The 20,772-nt window shown below is 43.8% G+C and overlaps 1 protein-coding gene across 5 annotated transcripts in view; it reads left to right on the top strand.

Moving 5' to 3' along the window:
• GABRR1 (gamma-aminobutyric acid type A receptor subunit rho1) overlaps positions 1-20,772 on the top strand; it is a 53,785-nt gene that overhangs the window by 30,278 nt on the left and 2,735 nt on the right. For all 5 annotated transcript variants that reach the window (NM_001267582.2, NM_001256703.1, NM_001256704.1 and 2 more), the window contains 6 exons: positions 1,582-1,649; positions 2,768-2,991; positions 10,764-10,846; positions 15,561-15,701; positions 18,954-19,106; positions 20,523-20,719. In NM_001267582.2, coding sequence (NP_001254511.1) covers positions 1,582-1,649; positions 2,768-2,991; positions 10,764-10,846; positions 15,561-15,701; positions 18,954-19,106; positions 20,523-20,719 — 866 coding nt within the window. The remainder of the gene's footprint in view (positions 1-1,581; positions 1,650-2,767; positions 2,992-10,763; positions 10,847-15,560; positions 15,702-18,953; positions 19,107-20,522; positions 20,720-20,772) is intronic.

Below are 20,772 nucleotides of genomic sequence, written 5' to 3'. Positions count from 1 at the left end.
CATTTTGAGCATCTGTCTTGCCCCGCCCTGGGTTCTGCTGAACAGTCTCAGGAAGCATCTGCTGCTGGGTGGCTGCTGCCCCTCTAGGATGGCTCACGATGAGGGAGGCCAACAGCTGGCTGTAGGAAGGGCAGGAGAACACAGGGCAGCTGCAGCCCAATGCGGCCTCCTAAAAATACTTGGAAATAACAACCTTGGACTAAATTTGTTGTCATCTGGGAGCTGGCAGACAGAGTTCAGGGTATGTATCTTACGGTGGAATGTGGTCTGCTCATTTTAATTAAATGAAAATAGCTTGAGAGAATAATGATTTAGTGCAGAAGAATAGCAAAGCCCTATGAAGCTTAGCCTGCAGCTACTGGGTTTCAGCCTTCTTAATGTCAATAATTTTTCACCCTTATGGGTTTATTTTCCTGGAAAAAAAAATACTCATTTTAAAAATCATTCTCGGCCGGGCATGGTGGCTCATACCTGAAATCCTAACATTTTGGGATTTCATCTGCCATGGCTGAGGTGGGCAGATTGCCTGAGCTCAGGAGTTCGAGACCAGCCTGGGTAACATGGTAAAACTCTGTCTCTACTAAAAATACAAAATTTAGCCAGCTGTGGTGGTGTGCACCTGTAGTCCCAGCTATTCAGGAGGCTGAGGCAGGAGAATTGCTTGACCCCAGGAGGCGGAGGTTGCAGTGAACTGAGATCACACCACTGTACTCCAGCCTGGGCAACAGAGTGAGACTCTGTCTCCAAAAAAAAAAAAAAAAAAAAAAAAGGGAAAAAGAAATAATTATCTTGCCATTTATTTTTCTTCCAGTCACTTTTACCCAAAGAATAAATAGGCTGTAGAAGAGAGTCTCTATGCAGTCCCCAATCCACCATTGTTGAATCCAAACCCACCTTTTTACTCCAAATGATTCAGTGTGCTCCATGCCTGCCCTTCATCCTCAGAGCATCAGAGCAGGGAAGAAGGGGGGCAGGAATTGATTCCCTTCATTATACTTCCTTACTCTTTATCAATATTTAGTCCGTATGGCCCAGAAATAACAAAAAATCTAATGTTTTAAGGCCATCCTTAAAACAGGCATCCTGTCTTCCCTGGAAGCTACTCCATCATGTTGCAAAGATGCAGATCTGTGGGTTTGGCAAATGACCTGAATATGACTTTGGTTCTGAGTTCCTATTACCAAACAACGCCTTTCTCATGTCCAGACAAGAGACAGTGGCTTCCAGGATGAAAGAGGGTGCAACACCAGAAGGCAAATATAGAGAATAATGTGGGTGACCTCATGCTAAGACGTCAGTTACTCTTAGATCAGACCCAGCTTTTGACCTAGGTCTTCATCATACCTTCAGATGAGCATATATAACCAAGAAAGGATGTTTTCAAACTTCTGTTGGAATATTTCAGAAAGCCAGCCTATGATTCCATGCTTTTATCTCTGGTTTGACTTCAGGTTGCCATGACCAAACCTCCAAATCTGATATGACATTGAGGTTCCAGGGGAAATGCTCCTTTTGCCTATTTCCTCCATAGTAAAATTTCAAGTAAAAACAGTGAATGCTCTTGCCATGCTCTGTCCCCAGGCCCTGCCATTCCTGTTGGTGTGGATGTGCAGGTGGAGAGTTTGGATAGCATCTCAGAGGTTGACATGGTAAGTGCTTCTCTGACCAGGGCCGTGGCAGGGGGATTCACAAAGCCGGTCCAGGGCCAGGAGCTCCACGCACCTGAATTCACTTAGTCTCACAACTGCCCTGGGCGGTGGGAATCCCCACACTACTTTTTCAGATGGCTCAGGAAGATTTGCCCAAAGCCACCCAATTGGTATGAAACAGAGCCAGATAACAAGCTTAACCTTTCTCACTCCAGTGGCCAGGCTCTTGCCACTGGGATGCATTTTCTGGACAAAAGCTCTCAAATGTAAGCAGCAGGGCCCAAGTTTGCAGCTGCTAAGTAGTCAAACACATCTTATTCCTGTGGATTCTGTACCTGGCTGTCGAAATGCAAAAGAAGCAAAAGAGTGTCCTTTCCCCCCGCCCGCCCCCTTTTTGGTCGGTTCAGATAAAAAGTGCAACATTCTCCAACTCCTTGACTTACAGGATATTTTAGGGACCTACCTTAGTTTGGGTCCACCAAAAAGCAGACCTGAGACAAGCAGTCACAAGCATAAGTATAAGCACTTTATTTGGGAAGTGATCCTGGGAAACACCAGAACAGAGTGGGGAAGGGAGAGAGGAAGAGAAGGAAGCAAAGAGGGCTGTGCTATCAAACCAGTTACTGTGGAACTGGTATGGAACTCAGTTATAGAACCACAGAACTCAGTGCCACTGGAGTACTCTGGGAGTCACTGAAGAACACACTTCAGGGTTATTCTGACTCAGGGGTGCAGGCTCTGGGGTATGTATCCACCGCCTTCTCTCTGATTGAGTGCTGTTTGCAGGTATGAACTTTCTGGCATCTGTGGCTTGAGTCACACATGGTGGCAGTAGCAGCCCCTCAAGTGTAGAGTGAATGCCAGGGGCTTGAAGCAGGGCCAGGCACACTTACACTGTCTGCTCCAGGCTTCTCTCTGAGTTCCACGCTGTGCCCCGCCCCCCGCCCCCTGCAGCGTTCTCTTCCTCCTACTGCAGCAAACTCTGGAGACTAGAAGCAAAACCTCTCTTGGTTCGGTTTCATTCCCCAGCCAAGTGATGGCTCCACAGGGGCTACAGAATCCACATCTCAGTGGGTTTGTGTGTGTCTGGGGTTCCCTCTCTGCCCTTCTGCTCCCAGGACTTTACGATGACCCTCTACCTGAGGCACTACTGGAAGGACGAGAGGCTGTCTTTTCCAAGCACCAACAACCTCAGCATGACGTTTGACGGCCGGCTGGTCAAGAAGATCTGGGTCCCTGACATGTTTTTCGTGCACTCCAAACGCTCCTTCATCCACGACACCACCACAGACAACGTCATGTTGCGGGTCCAGCCTGATGGGAAAGTGCTCTATAGTCTCAGGTAGGAAGAAAGGCAGATCATTCATATTAACCAAGAAAAGCATTGGTTTCACAACAGCAATTTGGGTTTTTGGCTCTGAATGTCTACTTTCTAACTTTTCAGTAGTTGCCAGCTTCTCAACATCAAGGAAAACTAACTTTATACATGAGTAGAAATTTTAAAGAATTATTCAGTCTTGAAAATACCTTTGGGGCAATTTCTCAAACTGATACTATTCTATGTGTTATATTTCAATAACAAACAAGTTTATTTCTCTAGTAGGAGTCAGAGAAATAGATAATGTGTTCTCAAGGACTTACTTCTTACAATCTCTCTGATTCCCATTTTTGGGAACATTTTAGAACTTTGGTTAAAAAAAAGTTCTTCTGCTTCATCTGGCCACCACAGGCATGTTTTCTCTCCTTTCTCTCCGTAGTGTCCTACTTGAGAAACTATGGGGACCCCCGGCTACTTTATGACTTGACGTGCCATTCTGAACATCACTTTTTAAATATAATGAATAAAATCTTCTCACCAGTTCAGACACTTTAAAAACGTTTAATTGCTCATGAAGCGCTGGCCTGGGGAAGCTTTCCTTAAACACAGCTCCACAGTGTGGTTTTCAGGCTGCACAGGAACTTTAGAAACTCATGGTACTCAAGGCACATGGAGATGAGCAGCAGGCCTTCACAGAGAAGGGATGTGGTCACTTGCTGTGGTCTGCTCCTCTTGTGCTTTGTGGACGGTGCATTCCAGTTTCACAGACTTTGCTTTGGCTTCCGTGCTGATGAATGGTAAAGATGAATCCACACATCAGTGTATAAGTAGAGGGTTCATGGATGCTTGCACAGTAGACTTATAAACCTATGGAGTCAGAGATTGCAATGTTGAAGCTGACTTTCTGTCCCCATTCCCCAAAGGAATATTTATGATGATCCCTCCATACTCATTCTGGCCTGGAACCTAAGTAATTAGGTACCTAACACAGAGTGGGGTTATGGGGTTTTCATCTTTAATGCTTAAAATGCTTCCTCCCGTAAGAAGTACTCAGGCGGGTCCAGGATGTGCAACCCCTTCCCCAAGCCATGTTGAGCTGGTTCTCCCTGAAGTCTTCATTTCTGAGGCAGATTTTTTATTTTCTTTTCTTTTTTCTTCTCTTCTCTTTCTTTCTTTCTTTCTTTCTTTCTTTCTTTCTTTCTTTCTTTCTTTCTTTCTTTCCTTCTTTTCTTTCTTTCTTCTTTTCTTTCCTTCTTTTCTTTTTTTATTTACAGAGTTTTGCTCTATTGCCCAGGCTGGAGTGCACTGGCGTGATCGTGGCTTACTGCAGCCTCAACCTCCCAGGCCCAAGCAGTAATCTGACCTCAGCCTCCCAAGTGGCTGGGACCAAAGGCATGTGTCACTATGCCCAGCTAATTTTTTAAAAAATTATTTTTGTAAAGACAGAATGTCCCTATGTTGCTCAGGCTAGTCTTGAACTCCTGGGCTCAAGCCATCCTCCCACCTTGGCATCCCAAAGTGCTGGGATTACAGGTGTGAGCCACCACACCTGGCCCACTGAGACCGGTTTTCAAGGCATCTTAAGGCTCAAAAACTACCAACACAACAACACAACTCAATGGCACCACCAAGGCTACAGAGTACTAGACCATAACATATGTGACCATTGGTATGCTAGTAAATGTTTAACAATTGGTTACCTGGGGGGAAAGTATGCATACCTATGTGTATATAAGTTTGTTGTAAACATCACTGACATAAAGGACGTATAATGCTCTTTATTATAAATTCCATATATTTATAACTTGAGCATGATTTCCTAGTTCTTGGAAAAACCACTATAAGTTTTTATAATTCTATCATCAACAAATGAATATAGATCTGATGAATGTTGGTTGATATTTTCTTTTCCATTAGTAAGACAAAAGTGAAACAATGAAAAACTATATAGAAACTTTACTCATTCATCAAAGACATAAGCAACTTCTTTGCTGAATTGGATGATAGCTTTCAAATACTGAAATATGTCCTCAATATTTTGTACTACTCACAATGTAATGATAATAGGCATAACACCCTTTTAGGCTTAATCTGCCTTAAGTCTAGACAATCAACAAAACAATAAATCAAGCCCTGATTTGTAGTGTTTGCTGATTTCTGTAGTATAAATACTCCCATCGTGGCTGATTTCAAGCTCCCACCTGATGTCACTAAATGCAGAATTAGGAAGAAATTCATGGCAGCACACCATTATGCAGTGTTTCCACCATACAGATGCAATAAGTGTAAATGGCTTCAAGAATATACATAATAAAATGTGGTGAAATACTTAGGAATTGATGAGTATTTTTTACTTTTGTTTTTACAAGATAAGTCTGGTGATAGTGAATTATCTCAGCTTTTGTCTATCTGGAAAAGACTATCTCTCCTTTATATTCAAAATAATTTTGCTGGATATAATATTCTTGGATGACAGTTTTTTTCTTTGAGCACTTTGAAAATATTCTTCTACTTCCTCCTGGTCGGCATGGTTTCCATTGGGAAGTCTGTTGCCAGACAAATTGGAGCTTTTTTTTTTTTGGAGACGGAGTCTTACTCTGCTGCCCAGGCTGGAGTGCAGTGGCGTGATCTTGGCTCACTGCAACCTCCACCTCTCGGGTTCAAGCAATTCTCCTGCCTCAGCCTGTCAAGTAGCTGGGACTACAGGCACATGCCACCATGCCTGGCTAATTTTTTTTGTATTTTAGTAGAAATGAGGTTTCACCGTGTTGCCCAGGCTGGTCTCAAACTCCTGAGTTCAGGCAATCTGCCTGCCTCAGCCTCCTAAAGTGCTAGGATTACAGACGTGAGCCACCATGCCCGGCCCAAATTGGAGCTTTTTAATGTGTTACTTGTCTTATTTATCTTGCTGCTTTTGGGATCCTCTCTTTGTTCTTGACCTTTCAGATGGATTACTATATGCCTGGAGATAGTCTTATTTGCATTGATTCTGTTTGGTGTCCTCAGACCTTCCTATACCTGTATATTTATCTCCTTCTTGAGTTTTGGAAAGTTTCCTGTTATTATTCCTTTGACTAAGCTTTCCACCCCTTGCTGTTGCTCAGCTCTGTCTTGAACACCAATAATTCTTAGATTTGGTCCTTTGAGGTAATTTTCCATATCTTATAAGCAGCCTTTGTTCCCTTTTATTCTTTCTTCATTTTTTCTCCTCTGACTATATTTTCAAATAGCCAGTCTTCTAGCTCACAGATTCTTTCTTCTGCTTGGGTCATCCTGCTGTTGAGAGCCTCTAAAGAGTTCTTCAGTTCGGCAAATGTATTTCTCAGTTCCAGGATTTCTGTTTGATTTTTGTTGTTGTTGTTATTTCAGTCTCTTTGTTAAATTTCTCTGATAAATTTCTGAATTGCTTTTTTGTATTATTTTTTGGATATCACTGCACTTCCTTAAAATTGCTATTTTGGATTCTTGGTCAGAGAGATTACAAATCATGGTCTTGTTAGGATCCCCTTTTGGGGAGGTCCTAATTCCCTGTTTGCTGTTGTTTCTTGTTGGTATACATCTATGTCTTTGCATTGAAGGATTAGTTTTTTATTCCAGTTTTCTCTGTCTAGTTTTGTTTTTTATTGACTATATTTGCTTAGTGAATCTGTCGCTAGGTTGCTGCCTCCTTTTCAGCTCCAGGTGGCACCTTAAACCCAGGTTCGCCTCGCTCCAGTAACCAGTCTGTCTCTGCACCGCCAGTCCCGAATGGGGGAGGTCCTGAAGGGATTATCCCGGCAGTGTGGGAAGGCTGGCTAGGGGTTCGTGCCCAGGGGACCTACAGAATATTCTTCCTACAGTGCTACTGAACAGCCACTCTGATTTGGCATCTCCTTTGGTCAAGTTACAGAGCATAGTTTCCAGGATGGGGATGGTTGTCCTGCCTCCCCTTTGTCTCAGCCTGTTCTCAGGGCTATTTCTCCCTTCAGGCAATCATGATGCTTCCTGTTGGTTAAGGTAAGGACAAATCTCCTGACAGGGAACCTAAGAAGGTAGGGAATCTGATTGATCACCTCAATTTCACTTTTTCCAGTGTAGAAGTCATGAGTTGGGGGGAGATTTTCCATGCATTTGGTGGCAAATAGAATGGGAGAGAGGAGCATCGGGGATGTGTAAGTCCAGTTCTCCTACTGGCATCTCAGTTTTTCTACTTCTCTGTGGCCCAGGGAACTGTCTCATCCTCATCCATGAGCTCTGGGTTGTTGCTGTTGAAAATCTTGGCGTGATATGTTTGTTTTTGGTTTTCTGTGGTGTGGAGTGAAGCAGCTTGCCTTTATGCCACGATTTTGGAACTGGAAGCTATTATTTATGTTTTTTAATGTGACATTTAATTTTAATGCTTAATAGTGACTGTGTTTAACAACTGGCTCACAAGCTTCCTGAAAATCTAGCAATCAGCTCCCGAAAGCCTGTAGAAGTCCAGTCCAGTGCACCACTGGATGTGAGTGCAGGAAGGGAGTAGAAAATCTTTTGTATGTTCAGAATAAAAATCCTCAGTGAGCCTCAACCACCAGGAAAACACCCCCTTTCCCTCCCTGTGCCTAAAAGCAGATGAGTTGATTTCTCATTGCAAATAAAGTGATGAGTTTGTTTGATTTAAATGAAAAAAAAAGAGAGATCTAAGTTTCTGAAGACCACCGCTTTGAATTTATTTTAAGGAAAACATGTCAACTCTGTCAGCCACTGGCCAGCTCCTAAAATACATCCAATTTACCATCTCCTCACTTCATTCATTCATTGATTACTTCAACAGATTCTTATTAACAGCATCCTGGGTGCCACGGTGGCCTGTGGAGTTGTACGAATGAAAGCCATGCCAGATTCTAGATCAAGCTCTGGGGACATAAAGACAGGAATAGAGGTCACTGTCCTTCCTAGGACTGCAGGCTAGTGGAGGAGACAGGCACAGAACCCAATGCTTAGGACACAAATGAGGAATGCAGCAGTGCAGTGGGTGGAGGAGCAGGGAGCCACAGATAACAGGATGATGAGAACAGTTTCCTAGGCACCAGCATACAATAAAAACTGAAATCCACAAGTGAGATACTCTATTATGCTTGGTAGATTTTACTAAGGTAATATTGAAAAACCTATTCCATGACTTTTGAATCCCTAGTCAACTTGAAGATATAAAAGAGTCAATGAGGCCGGGCATGGTGGCTCAGGCCTATAATCCCAGCCCTTTGGAAGGCTGATCCGGTGGATCATCTGAAGTTAGGAGTTCAAGACCAGCCTGGCCAATATGGCAAAACGCCATCTCTACTAAAAATACAAAAATTAGCTGGGCATGGTGGCACATGTCTGTAGTCCCAGCTACTCAGGAGGCTGAGGCAGGAGAATCGTTTGAACCAGGGAGGTGGAGGTTGCAGAGTTGAGATCGCACCACTGCACTCCAGCCTGGGCGACAGAGCGAGACTGTCTCAAAAAAAAAAAAAAAAAAGAAGAAGAAGAAGAAGAGGAAGAAGAGGAGTCAATGACAGCGGGAGAAAGGAAAGATTTGTGAAATTTTTTCGGGAAAGCATTGTGGGCATTCCGTGAGTGGGCCTTCACTGGGACCTCTCAAAAAGCTTGGTGTGTGTGTGCCTGCAGTTTGGGACACTGTGCAGTTAGGTGGGAGAGAAGAGCTGTCTGACCACTCTGGGGGCAGAGCCAGAAGTTTTTGCCATAGTGGGATCAGACTGTACTTATCTGTGAGTGTATGTGGAGAGGACGGTGGGTGAACCAAGAGCTGGAGAATGGAAACCTGCAGTGTGGAGGCGCCCAGTCGTGGGAGTGAGGAAGCCAGGAAAGAAAGTATCAGCTTCCACCAGGTAACAGGCCCAGAAAGCAGGAAGCCGCCCAGCCACAGAACTGCCCTGCGCCCACCTCCCTGTCTCCTTGCGCTTCCACCTGTGTGGGAAGAGATCGGAGATAGGCAGAAACTGACCACTCAAATGCCAACTTTATTTTTCTTTTTTTTTTTTTCGATGGAGTCTCACTCTGTTGCCCAGGCCGGAGTGCAGTGATGCGATCTCGGCTCACTGCAACCTCCGCCTCCCAGGTTCAAGCAGTTCTCCTGCCTCAGCCTCCTGAGTAGCTGGGACTACAGGTGCATGCCACTACGCCCGTCAAATGCCAACTTTTATCTTAGCTGAGGAGGGACAGCAGAAGTCTTCATTTGAATGAACTTTGAAGCTGATGAATACCTCAGACCAAAACTCTTAATTTCTGAATTAAGGTGTGGTTTGTGACTTAAGAGGGTTTTGACTATTACATAAGAGTGAGCAGAAGAGCCACGGGACCTGCCAAGTTTCCATCCAGGGCAGGGAAGAGCCCCTCCAATGAATCAATTTAAAGAGACTTGTGGAAACAAGAATAAACATGAGCTTTGATTACATCACAAATGGTTGCTTTATGTGTAAGTTATATGGAGAGAAGCATCAACTCAGGGTGGGAAGACCCATTCTGGTGATGTCTGTAATTCTGAAAACAGCTGTTCCTATACCAACTAACAGAATGAGGAGGAGTATTCAGTCCCCTTGTTCGTAGCAAAACATTTCCTTCATTGGGCATTCTATGTCTCTAAAGTTAGCTCGAAGTGTCCCTGAAGTTAGTTCTTAGCTTATTTCATGTTGATGATGCCATTGGGCATTGTTATGCGATGATGTACCCATAGAAATGGAAACCCACCCATTAGGCATCCAAGTCAGCTGCCAGCCTGACCCCCACCTCGACCTCTGCACTCTAACATTCCCTGTTTATCAGGATTTCCAGGAGACATAAGACCACCCAGCTGCTGGCAATCAAAAATGCCTCATAGATAGAATGCAACCATTCCACCCTCAAAGCAGTGGGAAAAAATGAGGCAAATATTTGAAAAATTCCATTTCAAGAATGTTCTTTTCCTTGAAATTTCCATTTAAATTAAAAGTGATTTTTCTTTTTTTACCATGAATTATTCATATAATTTCCACAACTTTTGCGTAGCAAATATTGCATGGTTGAAGGAAAAGGAGTCCATTCAGCACGAGCGAACAAATGTTAATCGTGTCCTGCTGTGAAATTCCCCACTGGATAGGAGGCTTTTCACTATGAAGAATGATCTGTATGTGTTTGGCTTTTGATGCGGAAGCCTCTTTCCCAGTGTAAATTCTGAAATAAAATCACTCAATGCCAGCAAGTGCTTGCCTATTAACACAGTAAGACCTTTCAGTGTTTTTCCATTACTTTGATCTCCAAGGAATTATCCACTAACAACACATATGCCCACTAGTAGATACTATTATCAATATAAAAATATCAACATCGTTAAAGAAAAAGTGCCAAGCTTGGCAACTGGGGTAAGTGTACACTGTATTGTATATGATGTTGAATATCAATAAAATCAATAAAAGAACAAAAGAACTGGAATTTATCTGAAACAGGAGAACAATATATGGTCCTAGAGCTTCTTTTAAGAAACCATATCATGTAAGTTTTTATTTCACATTATTATATTCATTGAGACCATTGCTTCTTTAAAATGCTTGAATGTGATAAGAGTTAGTAGAGACATTCCATTTGCCTCACACTGACCCTTGGGTTAAACATAAATGCCTAAGAGTACTCCAGTGATGGTATCACTCATAAGCTACTTATCTAAACCCTGACACATTGCTTATGAAGTATGAGAAGAGGCATCTATCATATTGGAAGGAAGCAGAGGCCTTTTCCATTTATCATTTTGCACTCGTCTTTTGCAGGCTCTGAATAAATCAATTTTGTCTTTTTGGCCCTAGGGTTACAGTAACTGCAATGTGCAACATGGACTTCAGCCGATTTCCCTTGGACACACAAACGTGCTCTCTTGAAATTGAAAGCTGTGAGTAGACTTGTCCCCGGGCATCAGCACACAGCTCCTGATAATTCTCAACACCTCTAACTCTCAGCTGCAGGAACAGTGTGTGTTCCTTATTCATGAGTAGACTTTTTTTTTTTTTTGAGATGGAGTCTCACACTGTCGCCTGGGCTGGAATGCCGTGGCGCAGTCTCTGCTCACTGCAACCTCTGCCTCCCAGGTTCAAGTGATTCTCCTGCCTCAGCCTCCCGAGTAGCTGGGATTACAGGCACCTGCCACCATGCCTGGCTAATTTTTTGTATTTTTAGTAGAGACAGGGTTTCACTATGTTGACCAGGCTGATCTCCAACGCCTGACCTTGTGACCACCTGCTGGGATTACAGGCGTGAGCCACCATGCCCAGCCTTCATGACTGTACTTTTAAAGTAATGTGTTAGATTGAAGCTAGGTCTAGGGTAATTTTAAATATCAGGAACAAATTTGAAACTAAAACCTTCATTGCCATAACTGATCTTTTTTTTTTTTTAATTATACTTTAAGTTTTAGGGTACATGTGCACATTGTGCAGGTTAGTTACATATGTATACATGTGCCATGCTGGTGCGCTGCACCCACTAACTCATCATCTAGCATTAGGTATATCTCCCAATGCTATCCCTCCCCCCTCCCCCCACCCCACCACAGTCCCCAGAGTGTGATATTCCCCTTCCTGTGTCCATGTGATCTCATTGTTCAATTCCCACCTATGAGTGAGAATATGCGGTGTTTGGTTTTTTGTTCTTGCGATAGTTTACTGAGAATGATGGTTTCCAGTTTCATCCATGTCCCTACAAAGGACATGAACTCATCATTTTTTATGGCTGCATAGTATTCCATGGTGTATATGTGCCACATTTTCTTAATCCAGTCTATCATTGTTGGACATTTGGGTTGGTTCCAAGTCTTTGCTATTGTGAATAATGCCGCAATAAACATACGTGTGCAATAAACATAACTGATCTTTTTAATGCCCTATGGCAATGGTTTTAAACTTTGTTCTGTTGAATCAGGGTAACTGCTTGGGGAAGGGAAGTAGAGGGCTAAGCGAATGTGGGTCTCCTTCCAAGCCCTTTGCCCAACACACACACACACACACACACACACACAGACATGAGTTCATCCAGAGAGCTCATTTTTGATGTGTTTTATTGCTCTTCTAAATGTAATTTCTGCTGAAGAAAGGATTTCCTGGCCAAAACAAGTTTGACAACAGTTGCCCTAGGGAACTGCCACTGTGAGTTCGTGTGGTGGTTGAGATGCTCAGGCACAACAAGGGATTTCAGGAAGCTTGCACACACACAGACATCCTGGAAAAACTGAAAACCAGGCGCTATGACACCACAGGTGCAGTCAACAAAAGAAAAAAATACGCAAATTGGACTACATGAAAATTGTCAATTTTGTGCATCGACATTATCAGAGTAAAAAGGCAACCCACAAATGGGAGAATATATTGATAATATATTGATAAATCATCTATCTGATAAAGGATTGATATCCAGAATACAAAGAGAACAGCTAAAACTCAACAACAACAACAAAACAATCTGCTTAAAAAAATGGACAAAAGACTTGAATAGACATTTCTCCAAAGACGGTATACAAATGGCCAAGAAGCACATGAAAAGATGTTCAACATCATTAATCATTAGGAAAATGCAAACCAAAACTACAGTGAGTTACACTTACTGGGATGAATACTGTCAACAAAACAGAAAACAATTCTGGGGAGGATGTGAACAAATTAGAACCCTTATCCTTTGTGGGTAGTAATGTATAATGGTGCAGCCACTGGGGAAAACAGCTCCTCAAAAAATTAAAACAATGGCTGGGCACGGTTGCTCATACCTGTAATCCCAGCACTGTGGGTGGCCGGGGTAAGAGGATCACTTGAGCCCAGAAGTTGAAGACCAGTCTGGGCAACATAGCAAGACCCTGTCTCTACAAAAAATACAAAAATGTGCTGGGCATGGTGGCTGGCATCTGTGGTCCCAGCTGCTCGGGAGGCTGAGGCAGGAGAATCACTTGAGCCCAAGAGCCTGAGGCTGCAGGCTGCAGTGAGCTATGATTGCACCACTGCACTCCAGCCTGGGTGAGAAAGCAAGACCCCCATGTCTAAAAAAAAAAAAAAATTAAGAACATATGATCCAGCAAATCCATTTCTGGGTAAATAACCAAAAGAATTGAAAGCAGGGTCTTGAAAAGGTACTTGTATGCTCATATTTATAGCAGTTCTATTCACAATTGCTAAAACATGAAAACAACCCAAGTGTCCATCAATGGATGAATGGATACACAGAATGCAGTATCTGCATACAGTGGAAGAGTGTTCGGCCTTAAAAAACAAGGATTTCCGATACATGCTACAGCATGAATGAAACTTGAGGGCATTATGCTAAGTGAAATCAGCCAATCGCAAAAGACAAATACTGTATGATGTCACTTTTAAGAGGTACTTAGCGTAGTCAAAATTATAGAGACAGAAAGTAGAATGGTGGTTGCCAGAGGCTGGGGAGAGGGGAAACAGGGATGAGGCGTTATTGTTAAATGGGTATGGAGCTTCAGTTTGGGAAGATGAAAAGAGTTCTGGAGATGGATGGTGGTATGACCATCATACTGGTTGTGTTTATGTAGTAATGTAGTACAACACAGATACTACATGAAAATTTTAAAATGCTGTGCATCAAAACATTATCAACAGAGTAAATGCAACCCACGAATGGGAGAATATACAATGGCAAATGATGTATCCTACCATAAGAATGGCTGTATTTATGTAGTAATTTTCATGTAGTATAATTTTAATTATATTTATCATGCATCATAAATACAACACTTAAGAATGTAGTGCAATACCACTGAAGTTACACTAAAGAATGGTTAAGATGGTAAATTTTATGTGTATTTTAACACAACACAACACACACACACACACACACACCCCCCAGAAACCAGGCCACAGAAAGAGCCAGGCTGAGGCAGTATAAAATGATCCACATGCATCTCTGTCCCTCTACATGTCCGCTCCATTCTCCTCCCTGCCCAAACACTTTCTCCCACAGCACAGTGGACACCCCTGTGACTCCTACACTCCTCCTGAACACTGGCACTCCCTGGCAGTGTCAAAGCCCTAGTGAGGGTTCTCACTGTTCCAGGGCACTTTATCAGCCAGCCTGGGCTTGTAGCAGTGGATCAGGTGTCCCCTGGCTCCAATCATCTGGGACCAAGGAGTGCAGGGACATTGACATCACACACCGCTGGGGCCAAAGGGACAGCTGCATAGGGCACTGAATGTGGGGAAAGGGTGTAATAAAACCCAGGACCAAGGGAGTGGCTACTTATTGCACAGTGGCTTTACCTCTGCCTTGTCATTCAACCCTCACAAGACCCTGAAGAACAGGTTATTATCATTATACAAAGGAGGGACAGAGCTCGGTGGCAGAGCCAGACTGAAATACTGAGTTCATTGTCTCCAGAACTTAGTTTTCCCCACTATGCCTGGGCAGCTTCTGCCTCCATCTGGAATGTAGCCTTTTTTCAGGTTGTATCAGTCATGGCTCCGCCAGATAAACAGAACCAGTAGGACATACAGAGTAGAGATTTATTGCAAGGAAGTGGCTAGCAGGATTGTGGGGGCTGGCTAAGAGTCCCACATCTGCAGGGCGGGCCATCAGGAGTGCAGGAGGGGCACTCTGGGGCAGGAGCGGATGCCGCAGGCCACAGGTGGGATTTCTTCTTCCAGGAAGCCTCATTTCTGCTTCTAAGGCCTTTCAACTGATGGAATCAGGCCCACCCAGATTATCCAGGAAAATCCCCTTTAAAGTCCAGTGGTTGTAGATATTAGTCACATCTACAAAACACTTTTACAGATTAGTGTTTGATTGTATAATTGGGTACCATAGCCAAGCCAGGTTGACACATGAAACTGACCATCACACAGGTCAAGTGTTAGAAAACAAGAATAAAATAGTCCCAGGGACCCCTGGAAGGAACTGTTTACACATCAACAGGCTGGACTGGCAGTGCCATGAGGCTTCTCCTCAGTTATGCTCAGGCTGGAGGTAGGTTTGTTCACTTGGAGTTCACCAGAAGCAGGTGAGGGAAGGGGAAATGGTAGCACCAGAAAGGGTGATGATCATGGATTCACTTCGACTTTACCCTGAGTAGGAGTAACTGGAGTCCTACAGAGAGGGACTTGTTCCACTCCCGTCTCTTTATGGATCTTTTCTTGCTAAAATTCAGCCTTTATTACCTGATAGTGTTTACAGGTGCTTGCCATCAATTGATGAGTCGCCACACTTTGAAAGAAGAAAGGAAAAGGCTAAATTACTCTCCATTTATAAGGCTGAGCCATGTGAAATTTTGCCAATATTTAACCATTTCTAACCTACAAAAATAGAATTCCATTTGATTTAACCTAATAAATGGCAGGCTGAATTGTAGGGTGAACCCTTTTGCAGGAATTATGTGCATTTGGGCTTGAGAACTTTGCTCTGATGACTTTTGGAAGAGTGGAGATAATTAGATTTGTCTTTTTGGATATTGTTTTGCTTTGTTTAGACTGTGGTTTGTTTTTCAAACTATCATATCACAATCCCAGTAGTCAGTGTGGGAGGTCAGGACACAGCTTCTACATAGCCCCACAGACCATCCTGTCTTGCCACCACCTTGTGTCTGATGCTGGCCCCTGTCTTTTCAGATGCCTATACAGAAGATGACCTCATGCTGTACTGGAAAAAGGGCAATGACTCCTTAAAGACAGATGAACGGATCTCACTCTCCCAGTTCCTCATTCAGGAATTCCACACCACCACCAAACTGGCTTTCTACAGCAGCACAGGTAAGTGTAGAGTGAGGGCTGAGAGTCAGGGCAGGCTTCAGCTTGGTCTCCAAGGTTCACCCTCTATTATAGGAAAGGTTTGAATTGGTCGTCAGGTGAGCAGTGTCACTTATATTTGAAACTAAAGACAGAGGCCGGGTGCAGTGGCTCATGTCCCAGCACTTTGGGAGGCCAAGGTGGATGGATTGCTTGAGCTTAGGAGTTCAAGACAAGCCTGGCCAACATGGTGAAACTCAGTCTCTACTAAAAATACAAAAATTAGCCAAGTGTGGTGGCACACGCCTGTAGTCCCAGCTATCTGGAAGGCTGAGGTGGGAGATCCCTTGAGCCCTGGAGTCGGAGGTTACAGTGAGCTGAGATCACACCACTGCACTCCAGCCTGGGCGACAGAGTGAGACCCTGCCTCAAAAAAAAAAAAAAAAAAGAAAGAAAAGAAACTAAAGGCAGAAATCCTAAGTGAAGTCTAGTGGGTAGCAAGCAGTGGGTGGAAGTGATTTTTTTGATATTACCAATGCGTCAGAGTACTAACCTAAAAAAATTAGTAAGAACTTAAAACATAAGCCACTTGAGTGGGTTTATTTGAGACAATCGCATTGCCAGCTTAGTAACTGGCATCTCAGCCGTGATACGCTGATCCGAGTCCCCTCCTTGACAGCAGGAAACAAATACAATTCAGGTCTGCTGTTTTCAATTTACGTTCTCCCTGCTCCAGCCAGCCCCGTGGGGTCGCTCCACTCTTGACCAGTCTGCTCTTGCTATGCTGCTTGCACAGCCCCTCCTGGTGACTCTCTTCTAAGTGTCAGTGCAAGAACCACTGGTCAGTCCCCTGTGGACCCAGTTGTTCCTTTTTGAACCAAGGGTTGGGACAGGCTCACCCCCTCCTGTTGCCTGCGGGGGCATGCTCTGTGACCTTTCTCCTGGGAGCTTGCCTGCGCTAAATAGCTGAGGTTAACTTGCTTCATTTCTTGCCTTAAAAAAAAAAGTAGGGACACAAGTGGGTTTTGATTACATCGATGAATTGTATAGTGGTGAAGTCTAGGAATTTTTTTTTTTTTTTTTTTTGAGACGGAGTCTCACTCTGTTGCCCAGGCTAGAGTGCAATGGCCAGATGGCCAGGTCTGGGCTCACTGCAACCTCTGCCTCCTGGGTTCAAGCAATTCTCCTGCCTCAGCCTCCCGAGTAGCTGGGATTACAGGCACCCACCACCACGGCTGGCTAATTTTTGTATTTTTAGTAGAGATGGGGTTTCACCATGTTGGCCAGGCTGGTCTTGAACTCTTGACCTCAAATGATTGGCCCACCTCAGCCTCCTGAAGTGCTGGGATTACAGGCATGAACCACTGCGCCCAGCTGAAGTCTAGGATTTTAGTACATCTGTCACCTGAGTGGTGTACATTGTACCCAATGGGTAGTTTTTCATCCCTCACTCTCCTCCCACCTTCTCCACTTCCGAGTCTCCAGTGTCCACTATACCACTCTGTATGCCTTTGTGTTTCCATAGCTTAGCTCCCACTTATAAGTGAGAACATGTGGTATCTGCTTTTCAATTCCTGAGTTATTTCACCTAGAATAATGGCCTCCAGTTCCATCCGAGTTACTGCAAAAGACATTATTTCATCTTTTTTTTTTAATGGAAGAGTGGTATTCCATGGTGTATATATACCATATTCATTCATATCCATTCATCTGTTGATGGGCACTTAGGTTGATTTCATATCTTTGCAATTGTGAATTGTGCTTCTTGCCTCTTTTTTGACCAGTCACCTTTCAGGATGATTTCGCTCAAATCTTCATGCAGTTTCTATGTAAAACTTGCGCAATTGACTGCACAGGGAAGCACATTCTTTTTAAGTACCCCATGGTCTTCCTAATCTGTAAGAGGGAGCACCAACATAGCACTACAACCCAGCACATATTATCTCCTGTATCCATCACCCCAAAGTATTGGTTCCTTGGAGGAACCCTGTTCTTTTGACCCTCAGCATTCTGACAGTCCCTCTGCAGTAGCTTGCTGGTAACCAGAGGCATGTCCCATGCATTATAATGACCCAGGGTGCCAAGTTTCCAAGTTCATATTGCCAAGTCCCCATCCATTTTATTTTTAGTCCTAGGCATCTCACGCATATAAGGCCTTTTCCTTTTTTTTTTTGTCTTTTTTTTTTTCCATCATCCTCCCTTTCTCTTCAACTCCTCCATGCATATGTTTTCCTTGTAAGGACACAAAAGAAGAGCTAAAATGTAGCTGGACCTGTGATTGTTCACTGTGTTCCTAAATACAATGTTGTGTTTAACTTTCTTTTTTAACTTAAAGCACATTTCTCCCCATAAAGAAATCTAAAGAGATTGTTTAAATCAGTGCTTCTCAAACTTTGACGTGCATATGAACTATGAACAAATTACATATATATATATAAAATTATTTTTTTTCCTAATAGAGACAGGGTCTCATTCTGTGGCTCAGGCTGGAGTGCAGTGGGCGATCATAGCTCACTGTAACCTTGAACTCCTGAGCTCAAGCAATCCTCCCGCCTTGGCCTCCCAAAGTGCTGGGATTACAGGCATGAGCCACCGCGCCCAGCTGAGAATATTGTTAAATGGACCTCCAATTAAGTAGGTTTGGGGTGGGGCCCAGGTATCTTCATTTATAACAAGCTCCCAGGTGACGGTGAGGTTGCTGAACCCTAGACCAGGTAATGAGAGTAACAGGAGTTTAAATGACCCAGGCGTGATGGTAGTTCATACCTGTAATCTCAGCATTTTGGGAGGCTGAAGTGGGTGGATCACTTGAAGCCAGGAGTTCGAGACCAGCCTGGTGAACATAGCAAGACCCAGTCTCTACCAAAAAATTTAAACATCAGCTGGGTGTAGTGGTACCAGCTACTTGGGAGGCTGAGGTGGGAGGATTGCTTGCACCCAGGAGTTCAAGGCTGCTGTGAGCCAAGATTGCACCACTGCACTCCAGCCTGGTGACAGAGTGATACACTGTCTTAAGAAAAGAAAAAAGTTTAAATGGTCTTTTCAAGGGATTCCGTTTGTAAATAGGACAACGGCCAAAGGTTTCTTGAGATAGATTCACCCAGGTGGTATGTATTACTATATAATCACTTTGTTTCATGATTTCTCTCAATTTCACCTTATAAAGACATGATAAGAGTCCATTGGAGTGTCTAAGGCACTTAACAATTTCCTGAATAAAATGTGTTTTATGAAGGAGCCATGATGTGTACTGTCTTTTATTCCTGTGTCCCCCAGGCTGGTACAACCGTCTCTACATTAATTTCACGTTGCGTCGCCACATCTTCTTCTTCTTGCTCCAAACTTATTTCCCCGCTACCCTGATGGTCATGCTGTCCTGGGTGTCCTTCTGGATCGACCGCAGAGCCGTGCCTGCCAGAGTCCCCTTAGGTAAGGAATACCTCAAGTGCATATTCCAAGCATCTGCAAATATAGGTATTAACAATTCCTTCCAGATAAAACCATTCTTTTCAAATTGATTCTGTATCCCTTTTGGCGTTATGACTTGGAAAAACTCAAGAGTTATTTATTTATAGTTAAAATCCTGTAATTAGGAATCTATGTAGCAAAATGCTTTCCAGGACTCTGCAGGTGCCCATCCAAACAGCCCACCTTTAGTCTTGTCGAAGCCGTGTTCCAGGGTGGGCGAGCCTGGTCTTTAGGTGCCTTCTTTGCTCACCTGCAAAATGAATCATATCCTACAACAGTGTTTCTCAAATGGTAGCTCAAGGGGTCTTTGTGATAGAATCTTTGTGGGAAATTGTTAAAAATGAAGGGTCCTGGGTCTCATCTGCATCTATAGAATGAGAATCTCTGAGGGAGGACCAGGAACCTGCATTTTTAACAAGTTCTCCCAGTAATTATTCTGTGTACTCAAGTCTGAGAATCCCTTTTCTATAAGCATTCCGCTTATGGCTATTTGCTGTCAGCTCTTTTTCTCACCTTAAATATTATACCCATTTATACACACCACCATTGCTCAGACAGTTCAGGGGCTGCAGGGGAGAATGCGACCCACCAGGTTTTAGTGAAACTGGATTGGAGCTGGCCCTTAAGATGACCCCAATCCCCTGTGATTTGATGTTTGCCAAACAAATGTTCTGAGCTTAATTTGAAATCCTGGGCAAATTTCCATGGACAGATGCCTTGTCCTCTAACAGTTGTTCCATAGCTTGAACAGTTACTGTGCTAAATAGCTACACACTCTAGTTTTAAAATCTGTTTCCTATAAATGAAGTTAACATTGTCATCCTTAGTGAAATTGACCCTCAAGTCCTCAAGTGGACAATGCTGAATGGGCAGCTAGGTCCAGCATGGTGGTGGCTGCTGGGGGTGCCCTGACAGCTGTCGACGCAGGCCCAGGACAACAGGACTGCACACCAAGAGCCAGGACATGATATTAAAATAAACCCCATGGGCTTTTTCCCCTTGATGGAGCAGTAGTTATAAGAAACATATATACCTGCTCATATATGCAACCTCTTATTTTGTAAAAATCAATTGAAATAAATGTTTTAATGCCAAAATGTCTAGGGTTCTTTGCAGAAGAATAGTGACACAGATGCTACGATGAATACACAGGGTATGCAGAGGGGCGAAAGGGTAGGGAAGCAGGGGGAGAGGAACAGGAAAAGCTTCGTGAAAAGCTAAATCTTGAAAGATGTGTAGGTGTTTGCTGGGCAGTGGAGCAGGGATGGAGACATTCTAGATTGAGGGAGCAGCAGGGACAAATGAGCAGAGACATGAAACCATCCTGTGTTTGGTGAAAGACAAGCAAACACTTGTTTCTCATTCTTGTGTTTGCAGGTATCACAACGGTGCTGACCATGTCCACCATCATCACGGGCGTGAATGCCTCCATGCCGCGCGTCTCCTACATCAAGGCCGTGGACATCTACCTCTGGGTCAGCTTTGTGTTCGTGTTCCTCTCGGTGCTGGAGTATGCGGCCGTCAACTACCTGACCACTGTGCAGGAGAGGAAGGAACAGAAGCTGCGGGAGAAGGTGACTTTGCCATGCGCTTATAGTGTCTGGTCAGGATGGAACCTGATCTAGCT

This window comes from Homo sapiens, chromosome 6 (genome assembly GCF_000001405.40).
Source record: "Homo sapiens chromosome 6, GRCh38.p14 Primary Assembly".
NCBI lineage: Eukaryota > Metazoa > Chordata > Mammalia > Primates > Hominidae > Homo > Homo sapiens.
The sequence above is the reverse complement of the archived record's forward strand: the minus strand, read 5'-3'. Positions and strand labels throughout refer to the sequence as shown.